The following is a 15,567-nucleotide window of genomic DNA, read 5'->3' on the forward strand; positions in this document are numbered from 1 at the left end:
CCGAGATCGTGCCACTGCACTCTAGCCTGAGCGACAGAGCGAGACTCCATCTCAAAAAAAAAAGAAAAAGAAAAAATATATATATTATATGTATATTTTATATATTACATATAATTGCTTCATTTGTTTTTCCTTTGGAAAAGTGTGCAAGAACTTAGTTTCCTACTGCTATGATAACACTGAGACCATTTAACAACTATGCAATGTTATCTTCACTTTGCTTACTTCCTTCATAAATAGTTTTGCCTAGACCCCATATTAAATCAGGCTTGTTGTTCCTCATCTATACACTATCATATAACTTTGAGATAGATGGTAACTTTGAGATACTTTAAATGTAAAAACAATATACTCTTCATAGTTTTAAAAACATTTAATATAATTTTAGAATATTTCCTTTCTTCATGAAAACAAAAGAAAATGGTTTTGCTTAAAAATATATTCTGTTAAAAAATAGATAAAATAAAGCTCTTAACACGAGACCTAGAATATGGTAAGTACTTAAAAGATGTTATCATTAACTTATAATGAGTAAAGAGTAACAGAAAACAATGCTTTTCACTAAATTCAAATTAATGTGATTATCAATAGGCAAACTTCTGGTTACATATACATGCTATTAAACCATTGGTTACAAGTAATATAGGAAGTAAAATCATAGTTAACTGAGAAAATTAAATCAAAGTTGAAAGAAAAACCTGAAACCTATATACCAAACTCTGTGTTCAGAAGTTCAAAAATCACCCGTAACTGAATTTAAAAACAAACAAGCTAACAACAACAAAAGACTGTATTGAAAGACTCTTTGGCCAGGCAACGTGGCTCACGCCTATAATCCCAGCACCTTGGAAGGCAGAGGCAGGCGAATCACGAGGTCAGGAGATCGAGACCATCCTGACTAACACAGTAAAACCCCGTCTCTACTAAAAAAATACAAAAAATTAGCCAGGCGTGGTGGCAGGTGCCTGTAGTCCCAGCTACTCAGGAGGCTGAGGCAGGAGAATGGCGTGAACCTGGGAGGCGGAGCTTGCAGTGAGCCTAGATTGCGCCACTGCACTCCAGCCTGGGCAACAGAGCGAGACTCTGTCTCAAAAAAAAAAAAAAGACTCTGAGAGACACGGTAAAAATAGCCCCAAGAGATAATGATTTAAGTTAAAAGTTCTTTTATAAGAACTTCTGAAATTCTTTGCTTTCTGTATCTGTGCTTCCAACATACAGGAAACATTTTTGATTTAAAGAAAGAAAATAAGCCAACCAAGATTGAGTCTGCGTTTATTCTGTTACTGACAAATTAAATTTAAAGGTAATTTAATATTTACATACTTAATGCCTAATTGTCTCCAGTAAGAGGAATTACTATTTATTAATAATTTCTAACTGTTCAAGTATTTTAGAAATCCTCTGGAGTTTTGTATGCCCAATTAAATTTTGTTTAAATTTAATCTCAACAGACTTATGAAATTTGCTTTTATCCCAGTGAAATTTTGAGAGATGATTTTTCCCTCTGGGCACTATCTTTTTTACTTAGTTGTTATAAAAACTTTAGCTTCCTTAAACTGGTAATGCAATTTACAAATTTACAGTCTGGTTATTTTCTTAAATATCTGTGCATTGTAAATTGCGATTTTAACAAATGCCTAAACGAGAACCATCAATAAAATTTAGACATCATGAAAGCAGAATTGTCTCCTCAACCTAGCTAGAACTCATATTAAAAAAATCTAAATAAAAAGTTTTGAAGAACATATGAGACAAATATTTATATAAATACACAAAGAAGTTTGAGTACTAGGTGTTGTACAAAATAATGTCTACTTTAATTTACATAAATAACACAAAATGAGAATACATGAAATGTCTTGGTCTGGAAATAACCCCATTACTAGATCTCCTTTTAATTACTTAAAATGTAAAGATAGGGATTTTATTTCTAAAAAACAAAAACACATGCATTCATCACTAAATAAAAAGTATGTTCCAATTAAAATATCATTAAGCATTTAACTTAAATTGAAACTAAAAGTGCCTTACCATTTTCTTCATTTCCAAAAATAGTAACTAGAATAGAAGAAAAAATAGTGAATAAATATACTTTAAACATTTTGTATGTAAGTTTTATTTCAGGTTGAATATTCATCTTAATATCATTTTCAAAAAAATAAACTTTAGTTATAAATTGTAGACACTAATGCAAAGTCAAAATTGCACTTAAAAAACTCCAAAACCATTAAAATACTAAAATCCAAATTCTTTATCATTAACGCTACAGTCACACTAAATGTTTTCAGAACTTTATTAATTTTAAGTGTATCAACATGTTTATAGCTGCAATGTTTTCTTTAGCTCTTTCCTTAATGATATCTGCAGAATGAACAGAACTGTCCTCTATGACCCCCATAACTTATTTGTTAGTCTGTGATGTACTCTTATCAACCTCTTTGTGAATCTATACTCAAGACAAATGTATTTTTCTAAAGAAAAAAGTAGAGGAACTTACCCTGCTAATTTTTAGTGTTTTTTTCCTCTGAATAATCAAATACTGAAGAAGTCAGACTACGCACAGAAAAGGTAATTCAGTGTCTACCTCTCTTATGTTTTCTTCCACCTTGTATTACTATTGTGATGAATAAAGCCAACAACCACTTCAGTCTACCAAGCCTGAAACCCTGTGAACTGCTATTTACTCTTTCTTCCTGGATAATTCAATGGCCTCGAGTCCTGTTGGTTCTACTATCTAAGTCTCTTTATAATATGTCACCTATTCTTCAGTCCCTCCCCACTGTCTTCCTCAAATGCAACAGCTTAAGGCATCTTCCTGCAGTCAGTGTAACACACCACCACCACTAGCAAATCTGATGAATACTCTTCAATACCTGTGAGTCACTTTCAGAATGAAGTCCAAAATCTTCAGGGTAGCAAACACTACAAGCCCTCTGTAATCTACAATCTGTCTACCTCTCTGGTTTCTTCCTTTTTTTCTCCTTTTCTTTTTTTTTTTTTTTTGAGACAGGGTCTAGCTCTGTTGCCCAGCCTGGAGTGCAGTGGCACAATCTTGGCTCACTGCAACCTCCACCTCCCAGGTTCAAGTGATTCTCCTGCCTCAGCTTCCCGAGTAGCTGGGATTACAGGTGAGTGCCACCACGCCTGGCTAATTTTTGTTATTTTTAGTAGAGATGGGTTTTCACCATGTTGGCCAGGCTGGTCTCGAACTCCTGACTTCAAGTGAATCCGCCCACCTCAGCCTCCCAAAGTGTTGGAATTACAGGCATGAGCCACCGCGCCAGGCCCTCTCTAGTTTCTTCTGTCATTTGCCCATATTTCTGGTGTAATTATTCTAAACAAATTGTGGTTTCCCAAATGCATCAAGCTGTTTCATATGTGCCATGTACCTTGTCTATTCACCCTTCAAGGCCCGTTTTGAATACTCCTCTGTAAAGTCTTCCTGAGTCCCTCTTTAGCCAGAGTAGATCACTCCTTTATATCACCACTGATCACTCTTCCATCTTTACCACACCATCTCATTTTTCTTTTTTTCTTTTTATTTTTTCAATTACTTGTCAATATGTCTGTCTCACCTTACTGGAATAAATGCTCCTTGAAGTGTGGAATCATGTCTTAGAATAGTAACAACCCTGCAAGTTATCATTAGCTCCATTTTACAGATAAGTAAACTAAGGCTCAAAATAATTAAATGACCTTCCTAAGGTCACAGAGCTAGTATATGTAGTATAGATGGGATTTGAACTAAAAGTCTGTTCAGACTACTGGTAAGGATGAAAACTTGATAATATACTGTGTTATCACCCTCCTCCAAGTAGAAAATCTGAATTTAAAATAACATCTAGCTAATAGTTTCCAGCGGTTGTCTCTTTCAGCTTCTCACCAAGATATTCAGGGAACAATAAAACTGCTTCATATAAAAACAAAGCTAGGCCGGGCACGGTGGCTCACGCCTGTAATCTCAGCACTTTGGGAGGCTGAGATGGGTGGATCACTTGAGGTCAGGAATTCGAGACCAGCCTGACCAACATGGTGAAACCCCGTCTGCACTAAAAAATGCAAAAATTAGCCAGGCATGGTGGCATGCACCTATAGTCCCACATACTCGGGAGGCTGAGGCAGGAGAATCACTTGAACCCAGGGGGCAGAGGTTGCAGTGAGCCAAGACTGCACCACTGCACTCCAGCCTGGACAACAGAACTAGACTCTGTTTCAAAAAAAAAAAAAAAAAAAAACCAAACCAACAATGGCTAGAATCACTTCTTCACAGAGGACTTTCCTGACCACAGAATGGGTTAAATAAATCTCGGTATATATTCCTACAACACTTTATACTTTCCCTTTCATAACACCCCTGACACTTGTAATTACTGGTTTACAGTTCATAGTTCCTCCTAGGTTTTTTTCCTGGAGGTAGAGGACATGACTTTTTCACCAGCATCTGAAACAGTGTACGGCATGGAACACACTCTTAATATTTGCTAATGGCACCTCTAACTACAGAGACAAAGACATGGCTGGGAACAGCAATCTGCAGAACCTCTCTCAGTGAGACGAGGCTATTCCTTTTTATGGGGATCCCAAAATATATTTTTCTTTTTTGTTTTGTTTTGTTTTTGAGACAGAGTTTTGTTCTGTCACCCAGGCTGGAGTAAAGTGGCGTGATCTTGGCTCACTGCAACCTCCACCCTCCAGGTTCAAGCAATTCTCCTGCCTCAACCTCCCGAGTAGCTGGGATTACAGGTGCACGCCACCATGCCTGGCTAATTTTTGTATTTTTAGTAGAGACGGGGTTTCACCATGTTGGCCAGAATGGTCTTGATCTCCTGACCTCGTGATCCACCTGCCTTGGACTCCTGAAGTGCTGGGATTACAGGCGTGAGCCACCGCACCCAGGCCCAAACTATGTTTTTTAAAAATTCTTTTGATGACAAAACCAAGCTTATAAAAACTATTAGGACTGGGCGTGGTGGCTCATGCCCGTAATCTCAGCACTTTGGGAGGCTGAGGCAGGTGGATCACGAGGTCAGGAGTTCAAGACCAGCCTGGCCAAGATGGTGAAACCCCATCTCTACTAAAAATACAAAAAATTAGCTGGGCATGGTGGCGTGCGCCTGTAGTCCCAGCTACTCAGGAGGATGAGGCAGGAGAATCGCCTGAACCTGGGAGGCGGTTGCAGTGAGGCAAGATCACACCACTGCACTCCAGCCTGGGTGAAAGAGTGACACTCTGCCTCAAAAACAAAACAAAATAAAACAAAACAAAAGAACAAAACAACAACAAAAAAACCCAACAACAACAAAAATTATTAGGCACACTAAATGTTTATACATTTTTTTATGTAAGAAATGTCATTTTTCAATCTTGTCAATGACACTAACCTCATTTAGAGACAACATTAATTTATGGTTCTTTGTGAACATGAGGGCTGGCTATGTCCTATTCTTCACTTCATTGCCCCCTTTTCTTGCCTGTCTCCCACTTATTGAGCCTGAAAATATCAGATACTCACTTTATCAGTATACTTGTATCTACTATGGCTATGGGATCCAGTTCTTGCAAATGGATACATCTTGAGGGAGGGAAAAACTGTCACTGGGAAAAAATTTTTTTGCCCTCCTTAACAAGTGAGAAGCACGTGAGAAAGAAGCTCTATTATTTCCTTTATCCTGTTTTTGCTTTGAATTCTTATAATGTGAGGATGTGCTATCTGAATGTACAACTGTCAACTTTCAACCTTGATGGGCCAGTTATATGCTGGATATAGAATTCTGGGTTGACAGTTCTTTTCATTCAGTACTTTAAATATGTACTACTTCCTTCTAAATTCCACGGTTTCTGATGACAAATCTGCTGTTATTCTGTTTTTCCCCTATAGGTAAAGTGTCCTCACTGTTTTCAAGATTTTATATTTAGTGGTCAGAAATTTGGTTATAATGTATGTTGGAGTGGATTTCTTTGGGATTTTCCTGTTCAGAGTTTGCTGAACTTCTTAAGTTCTTCTTGAATATGTCCTTCGCCAAGTTTGAAAATTTTAAGCTATCATTTCTTTGAATACCTTTTCAACCATATCGTCTTTCTTCTCCCCTGGGACTCTGATGGTACAAATATTAGAACTTTTAAAAATAGTCCCACAAGTCCCTGATGATTTGTTCATTTTTATTTTTCAGTATATTTTCTCTCTTTTGTTCAGATTGGGTAATTTCTAATGTTTTATCTTCAAGTTCATTCACTTCACTTTTTTTCTCTGCCCTCTCCATTCTGCTGTTCAGTTGACTTTTTAAAATTTTGGCTATTGTATTTTCAGTTTAAAAATCTCCATCTGGTTCTTTACATCTTCTATTTCTTTGTTGAGAATTCTATTTTTTCATAATTCAATAGCAAATTGAATCACTTTAAAGATAGCTGCATTAAAGTCCTTGTCAAGTAATTCCAACATCTGTGTCTTTTTGGTTTTAGTATCTATTCTCTTTTCTCATTTAGTTTTCCTGGTTCTTGGTAGGATGGATGGTTTTCAATTGTATCCTGAAATGTTTTAGTATTATGCTGAGACTCTAGATCTTATTTAAATTTGTTTTTGCAGGCCTCGTCTGACTCCGTGCAGTGAGAGATGTGGGAGCACCACCTTGTTGCCATCAGGTGGGAGTCCAAGTCCCAGCTCCCTGCTAGGCTTCTGCACACATATCTTGGCTGGGAAGGGTAGAGGTGCCTCCTTAGTGCTTCCCAGATAGCCTCCATTGACACCATGAGAGGGAACTTGTTACTGTTTGGGGTGGGGGGATGGAAGGGACACATCATTACTGCCCAGTGGGAATGAAAATCTAGGCTCCTGACTAGGGCTTCACCTTTTCTGATACTATCCCAGCAGGAATACTGGGGAAGAGACACAGGAGGGGGGTCTTGTTACAGCTGGGCAAGCAGGAGAGGTCTTAAGCTCAATACTCAGTCTTTGCTGGTGAGAGTGGGGGATGGAGCACAGTTTGTCTATTGTTTTTGGCTAGAGTAGGGCAGTTATTGTCTACAAGTTTTCTGTCTTACTAGGTTGTCCCTTTCCTGGCTTGACTAATAAAACTGGTCTTTTCTAGGGTTTGTTTTGGTCTGTATTCATTGGTGTTTCCAGGTTGACAGCTTCTCTAGCACATATATGAAGAAAAAAAAAATCTAGGGAACACACCACCATGTTATTCCTCAGGTCGCAAGGTCCCTAGCTGATCTGGCTTCTTCTTGATACCTTTCAGAGTCTCCTCAGGTTTGTTTTCTGCACACTTTCCATGGATTTTAGCTGTACTTACTAAGAAAAGGAAGAAGTCTCTATTTCATCTTGTCTCAGAACTGGAAGTCCCTGCTTGTCCTTTTACTGCCGAATAGCATTCTGTTATATGGAGGTATGACAACTTTATCCATTAATCAGTTCATAGGCATTTGAGTGATTTCACCTTTTTGTCTATTATGATTACTCGTGTATTCACCAAGCCTTTGGGTGGACATAATATTTTTGTATTAGTCCATTTTCACGCTGGTGATAAAGACATACCCAAGACTAGGAAGAAAAAGAGGTTTAATTGGACTCACAGTTCCACATGGCTGGGGAGGCCTCAGAATTATGGCTGGAGGCAAAAAGGCACTTTTTACACAGTGGAGGCAAGAGAAAATGAGGATGCAAAAGCAGAAACCCCTGATAAAACCATCAGATCTCTCTTGAGACTCATTCACTACCACGAGAACAGTATGGGGGAAACCACCCCCATGATTCAAATTATATCCCACTGGGTCCCTCCCACAACACAGGGGAAATTACAGGAGTACAACTGAAGATGAGATATGGATGGGGACACAGCCAAACAATATCAATTTTCATTACTTAATATCTAAAAATGGGATTGCTGGGTCTAATGTTAAATATGTGCTTAACTTTACCAGTAACAGCCAAACTGTTTTCAAAGTGGCTGTATTTGGCACAAAGTGTTTGGCACTTCCACTTACAATGGATCAGAGTTATAGTTGCTCCACATCCTCACCAATACTTAGAATTGACAGTTTTTAAAATTTAGCTGTTCTAAAAAATATGCAGTGGTATCTTCATTTCACTTTTGTGTTTTTCTAATAACTACAGCATCTTTTCATGTGTTTAACAATCACTATCCCTTATTTGTGAAGTTATATGTTCAATGGTGCCCCTCTTTTAACTGTATTGCTTATTGAGTCATGAGTTCTTCATATATTCTGGATACAAATCTTGATATGTGTGTGCCAATATTTTCTCCTAGGCCATAACTTGCCTCTTTATATTTTTAACAGTGTCTTTTGAAGAGCACAAACTCTTAATTTTGATGAAGTCTTAATTTAATTTATCAATTTTTTTCTTTTATCATTCATGCCTGGGAAATCTTTGCCAACCTATGAAAGTCACAGTTTCTCATATGTTTTCTTCTGGAAGTTTTATAGGTTTTATATTTAGGTCTGTAATATATTTCATTTTCATTTTATATCATTTCATATTTTTTATTATTTTTGAGACAGAGTCTTGCTCTCATTTTATTTCATATTTTATTTTATTATTTTTCAGACAGAATCTCGCTCTGTCGCCCAGGCTGGAGTGCAGTGGTGCGATTTCAGCTCACTAAAACCTCCGCTTCCTGGTTCAAGCCATTTTCCTGCCTCAGCCTCCCAAGTAGCTGGGACTAAAGGCATGCACCACAGTGTCCCACTAATTTTTTTTTTTTTTTTGAGACAGAGTCTCGCTCTGTAGCCCAGGCTGGTGTGCAGTGGCGTGATCTCGGCTCACTACAAGCTCTGCCTCCTGGGTTCACACCATTCTCCTGCCTCAGCCTCCTGAGTAGCTGGGACTGCAGGCGCCCACCACCATGCCTGACTAATTTTTTTTGTGTTTTTTAGTAGAGATGGGGTTTCACCATGTTAGCCAAGGTGGTCTGGATCTCCTGACCTCGTGATCCACCTGCCTCGGCCTCCCAAAGTGCTGGGATTACAGGCATGAGACATCTCTCCTGGACAACTTTTTTGTATTTTTAATAAAGATAGGGTTTCACCATGTTGGCCAGGCTTGTCTTGAACTCCTGACCTCAACTGATCCGCCTACCATGGCCTCCCAAAGTGCTGGGATTACAGGTGTGACCCACCATGCCCCCCCATGTAATCCATTTTAAAAAGTTGATACTTTGTATATGGTACAGGTAAAGGTTGAGGTTAATTTTTTTACATATGAATGGTGAATAGTTCTTACAGTGTTAGTTGAAATAACTATTTGTTCTTCATTAAATTAACCTGGAATTTTCTTATGGGAATCAACTGACTATACGTGTAAGGGTTTATTTCTGAACTCTATTTTGTTCCACTGGTCTATATGTCCATTCTTACTCAGATACTACAGTCTTGATTACATATAGCTTTCAGTAAATCTTGAAATCAGATAGTATGGGTCCTCCAACTTATTATTTTTCAAAAGTATTTTGGCTATTTTAGGTTTGCATTTCCATATAAATACTTACTTATTTTTACCTTTTTTAGAGACAGGATTTTGCTGTATTGCCCAGGCTTGTCTCAAACTCCTGGGCTCAAGCAGTCTGTCTGTCTCAGCCTCCCAAGTAGCTAGGACTATAGGCCTCCTGAGTAGCTAGACAGCTTGCATGCCATTGTGTCTGGCCCATGTAAATTTTAAACTCATCTTATTGATTTCCTTAAAAAAATACTCAAACAAGGCCAGGCATGGTGGCTCATGCCTGTAATCCCAGCACTTTGGGAGGCTGAGGCGGGCGGATCATGAGGTCAGGAGATCGAGACCATCCTGGCTAACACAGTAAAACTCCATCTCTACTAAAAATACAAAAAATTAGCCGGGCGTGGTGGCGGGTGCCTGTAGTCCCAGCTACTCAGGAGGGTGAGGTAGGAGAATGGCGTGAACCCAGAAGGCGGAGCTTGCAGTGAGCCGAGATCACTCCACTGCACTCCAGCCTGGGTGACAGAGCAAGACTCCATCTGGTGGGGGTGGGAGGCGGGAATTCACAAACAAAAATCTGCCTGGTTTTGTTTTTTGTTTGTTTGTTCTGGGAGATCCAGTGCTGGCTGATGCCTGGATTTTGACTGGCTGAACTTACAGATCAACTTGGGGAGAAGTAATGTCTTTGAAATATTGTCTTACAGCCCATGACCATGGCGTAGCTCTCCATTTTAGATTTTCTCTATCACACAGAATCTTGCACATATTTTATTAGACTTATCCCTAAAATATTTCATGTTTTTGATGCTATTATAAACAGCATTTCTAAAAATTCCAATTTTAATTACTCATTGCTATAGAATAGTATTTAGAAATATGTTTTAGTTTTTTTATTGACCTTGTATGCTGGCTCAATTCACTTTTCGGTTCTAGTAGCTTGTTTGCAGTTTCTTTGGGATTTTCTACATAAATGACTAGTCTGGTAATCAACAGGGTTTGTTTTCCTTTCCTACGTGTGTGTGTGTGTGTGTCTGTGTGTCTGTGTGTGTGCGTGCACACCATTTTAAAAGGAAGATTAAATACCTGATAAGTTGATACCGATATTTCCAATTAAAATTAAAGTCTACAGGGTTTTTACTTAACATCTTCTATCTCACATTTGTATCTCCTTTTTCCATTGAGAATTCTGGTTCTCAAGGACACAAGGGATGAAGAATTAGAATACCCCATATTGCTTACCCAATAATCTCGAGATAATGACAATAACACTGCCAGTAATATGATTACTTAAAAGTTTGAATAATTTTTTCATATATTCTCTCTCCATTCTCTAGTAGTTGTGCTGAATCAAAATTGTTAAAGCATATAGTATCCATTACAAACATTATTCCTCATTTAGTCTTAGTCTTGGGTCCACAAGAAAATAAATATTTAATGTTCATATTAGAGTTTAATTTGTATCTCTGCAGTCAATTTGGTTGTCTGAAGCTCATTGTCATTCTCTAGCAAACTAGTTTTGCTACAGATACTGTTCATGTTCTGTTTTTATGCAGTGATTTGGAGTGACTCAAAAATAATGTACTATTACCACCATCTTCCCTAAATCCATATGATGATGACTTTTTGAAAAGATCAGGCCAGATGTCTTGTGAAATGTCCTACAAATTCTAGAAATCGCTACCCATTAGCACACAGAGACATCCTTTTTTTTTTTTTAAAGCATTGCACAATATTCCGTTGTGTGGATATTCCAGTTATACAATCAGCCTTCTATTGATGGGCATCTGTGTTGTCGCCAATCCTTTGCCACTACAATGTTGCAATAAATAACCTTGTGCATGTGTTGTTTATTTGTGGAAGTTTATCTTCAGTGTAGATTCCTAACAGTGGGATTACTGAACCAAAAGTAAATCTGTCCACCATGTCTTTAGCTTTTTGCAAAAACCCTTTTATACGGGTTGTACCATTTTATACTTCTACCAGCAATGAATGAAACTGACTGTTTCTCTGCAGTCTACTCAATGAAGTTTTCAATCTTTTGGTATGGCAGGATAATTTTACCTCGTATTTATCTTATAAGTGAGGGTCAGTATCTTTTCTTATGCTTATGTGTCATTTTCATTTTTTTTTTCCTGTGAAACATCTGCTTACTTTTTTGTTTGTTTGTTTTTTCTATTGTGCTTGGTGATTCTGAGATGTTAGAGGCTTTCCTCATTGCCTTAAGATCATCCACCCATATTTTCTTCTAATGCTTGAATGTTTCCATTTTTTATATTCATTCTTGGTCCCTGTTGAAATGACCAATTCCAGGGGCAGGAAAAGTATCAAACAATGCTGAAATATATTGCCAGAAAGAAAGGAAGTACTAAAAAAACAATAAGGACACATCAAAGCACACAGAAACAAGATGGAAACTGGCTCCTACTGGCCAAATCTGGGACAAATTGAACAATAAAATACGTGTTAGATTATAATTCACAAAATAGAATTTGCCGGTGCATGCTGATATATGTGAGTGAATCAATAAATAAGTAAATGGGAGAAGGATAATCTCTTCCATACAGTAGAATTCTAACTAGTAAATGTAGAAGAAATCATGGAATTAGAAAACCACCATTTGGCAACCAGGACAGTAATAACTGTTTCAAGCAAGAATTCTCAATAGATGCTAAAAGGAGTAAGTGAAAGTAATAACAAACAGATTATTCACAGGGTTTCAAAATGTCTCCCAATAAGAAATGACTCAGGTTGGGTTCTCTGGAATCAGATGCTAAGACAGAGTTTGGGGTGCAATGTATTTACTAGGGACCAGCATATGTGAAAGGAAGGGGGAAGAGGTATAATTGGGCTAAGGGAGCAATCTCACTGCAATATAGTCCTGGCTTCAGCAACCGGCAGGGAGCTCTGAAGTGGGCAGTTCCACCCCATCTCACTCAGGCATTGTGTGCAAGCTGCACCAGGAAGGGTGTGACCTTGGGTGATATGAGTCATGCAGAAAGTGCTGGAAGCTATCTGCTGACTGCACTGACCAAAACTGAGCAACAAGTCCTTCCTCAAAAAGGAATCCGTGTGATGTGGTGGTCTAATAGAATATTAATTACAAAGAAAAACTGTACCTTTATAGAATGGAGAAACATAGCACACACTACCTTGGGTGTTGATCAACATTAATGGTCCCCAAAATGTTATAATGACACAGCATTACTTCTGTGACATTCTTGCTGAAAATACATATAGGCACATCTCATAAGGTGCTTTGATTTATTGTGCTTTGCAGACATTATGTTTTTTACAAATCGAAGGTTGTGGCAACCCTGCATTAAGCAAGTCTATCTGTGCTATTTTTCCAACACTTTGTGCTCACTTTGTGTCTCCGTGTCACATTTTGGTTAATTCTCACAGTATTTCAACCTTTTTCATTATCATAATATCTGCTCTGGTGCTCTGTGATCAGTGATCTGTGACGTTACTATTGTAATTGTTTTGGAGTACCACCAACTGCATCCATATACGATGGAAAACTTAATAAATGTGGTGTTTCTACCACTCCACTGACCAGACATTCCTCTATCTCTCTCCGTCTCCTTGGGCCTCCCTATTTCCGGAGACACAACAATACTGCAATCAAGCCAATTAATAATCCTACAATGGCCTCTAAGTGTTCAGGTGAAAGGAAGAGTCACACACCTGTCACTTTAGATCAACAGCTAGAAATGACTAAGCTTAGTGAGAAAGACATGTTAAAAACCAAGACAGGATAAACGCTAGGCCTCTTGGGCCAAAGTTAGCCAAGTTGTGAATGCCAAGGAAAAGTTCTTGAAGAAAATTAAAAGTACTACTCCAGTGGAGTGGCACTAACTTTGGCCCACGTTGTGTACGTGTACCCTAGAACTTAAAGTATAATAAAAAAAATTAATTTTAAAAAAAGTACTACTCCAGTGAATAGATGAATAAGAAAGTGCAATGAGGCTGATACAAAAAAAGTTTGAGTTTTCTAGACAGAGAGCCAAACCAGCCACAAACATTCCCTTAAGCCAAAGCCTAACTCAGAGCAAAGTCCTAACTCTCTTTAATTTTGTGAAGGCTGAGAGAGATGAGAAAGCTGCAGGAAAAAAGTCTTAAGCTAGCAGAAGTTGATTTATGAGGTTTAAGGAAATAAGCCATCTCCATAACACAAAAGTACAGGACGAAGCAGCAAGTTTTTATGTAAAAGCTGCAGCAAGTTATTCAGAAGATCTAGCTGAGATAATTGATGAAGGTAGCTATATTAGTCCATTTTCACACTGTGAAATTTGGGTGGGGACACAGAGCCACGCCATATCAGTGGCTACACTAAATAACAGATGCTCGCTGCAGATGAAACAGTCTTTTATTGGAAGAAGAGGTCACCTAGAACTTTCCTAGCCAGAGAGAGGAAGTCAATGTCCAGCTTCAAAGAATAGGGAGACTCTTCTCAGGAGCCAATGTAGCTGGGGACTTTAAGTTGAAGCCAATGCTCATTTACCGTTCCAAAAACCCTAGGGCTCTGAAGAATTATGCTAAATCCACTCTGCCTATGCTCTAGAAATGGAACAACAAAACCTGGGTGACAGCACATCTGTTTACAGTATGCTTTACTGAATTTTTTTTTTTTTTGAGATGGAGTCTCACACTGTCGCCCAGGCTGGAGTGCAGTGGCACAATCTCAGCTCACTGCCACCTCCACCTCCCGGGTTCACGCCATTCTCCTGCCTCAGCCTCCTAAGTAGGTAGGACTACAGGCGCCCGCCACCACGCCTGGCTAATTTTTTGTATTTTTAGTAGAGATGGGGTTTCACCATGTTAGCCAGGATGGTCTCGATCTCCTGACCTCGTGATCTGCCCGCCTCGGCCTCCCAAAATTCTGGGATTACAGGCGTGAGCCACCGCACCCAGCGGCTTTATTGAATATTTTAAGCCCACTGTTGAGACCTACTGCTCAGAAAAAAGATTCCTTTCAAAATATTACTGCTCATTGAAAATGCACTTTGAAACCCAAGGACTCTGATGGAGATGTACAAGGAGATTCATGTTGTTTTTATGCCTGCTAACACATCTATTCTGCAGCCCATGGATCAAGGAGTCATTTCAACTTTCAAGCCTTATTATTTATTTAAGAAATACATTTCATAAGGCTATCGATGCCACAGTGATTCCTCTGATGGATCTAGGCAAACTACATTGATCACCTTCTGGAAAGGATTCATCATTTCTAGATGCCATTAAGAACACTCGTTTTTCATGGGAGGAGGTCAAAATATCAACATTAACAGGACTACAGAAGAAGCTGATTCCAGTCCAAGATCATGGATGACACTAAACAGTTCAAGACTTCAGTGGAGGAAGGGACTGCAGATGTGGTGAAAACAGCAAGAGAAGTAGAATAAGAAACAGAGCCTGAAGATGTGATGGAATTGCTGCAACCTCATGATAAAACTTGAACAGACGAGGAGTTGCTTTGTATGGAAGAGAAAAGAAAATGGTTTTTTTGACATGGCATCTATACCTGGTGAAGATACTGTGAACACTGATGAAATGACAAAAACCATTTAGAATATTACATAAACTTAGTTGATAAAGTATCAGCAGGGTTTGAGAGGACTGATACCAATTTCTGAAAGAAGTTCTACTGTGAGTAAAATGCTGTCAAACAGCATCACATGCTACAGAAAAATATTGTGAAAGGAAGAGTCAACAGATGCGGCAAACTTCGTTCTTGTCGTTTTGAGAAATTGCCACAGCTACCCCAGCCTTCAGCAACAACCTCCCTGATCAGTCAGCAGCCATCATCATCGAGGCAAGACCTTTCACCAGCAAAAAGATCAAGACTTGCTGAAGGCTTAGGTGACTGCTAATTGCTAGCATTTTTTTAGCAAAAAGTATTTTTTAAAGACACAATGCTATTGCACACTTAACAGACTACAGTATAGGGTGAACGTAACTTTTATATGCAGTAGGAAACCAAAAACTTGTATGACTTGCTTTATTTTGATATTTGCTTTATTGTGGTGGTATGAAATCAAACCTGCAATTTTCCCACCAAGGTATGCCTGCAATTCTCTGAATCTAATCATGAGGAAAGATCAAATAAACCT

General features: G+C 38.5%; 1 protein-coding gene across 13 annotated transcripts in view; it reads right to left on the bottom strand.

Moving 5' to 3' along the window:
- Window positions 1-15,567, bottom strand: part of ZDHHC20 (zDHHC palmitoyltransferase 20) — an 86,733-nt gene that overhangs the window by 51,050 nt on the left and 20,116 nt on the right. For 12 of the 13 annotated variants that reach the window (NR_104487.2, NR_104486.2, XR_007063672.1 and 9 more), the window contains one exon: window positions 2,032-2,058. The exons of the other annotated variant lie outside the window; for it this stretch is intronic. Coding sequence is in view for 6 of the 12 variants with exons in the window: in NM_153251.4 (NP_694983.2) it covers window positions 2,032-2,058 (27 nt within the window). In the remaining 6 variants the exon portion in view is untranslated. The remainder of the gene's footprint in view (window positions 1-2,031; window positions 2,059-15,567) is intronic. 13 annotated transcript variants of the gene reach the window in all.

The sequence above is a fragment of the Homo sapiens genome, chromosome 13 (assembly GCF_000001405.40).
Source record: "Homo sapiens chromosome 13, GRCh38.p14 Primary Assembly".
NCBI lineage: Eukaryota > Metazoa > Chordata > Mammalia > Primates > Hominidae > Homo > Homo sapiens.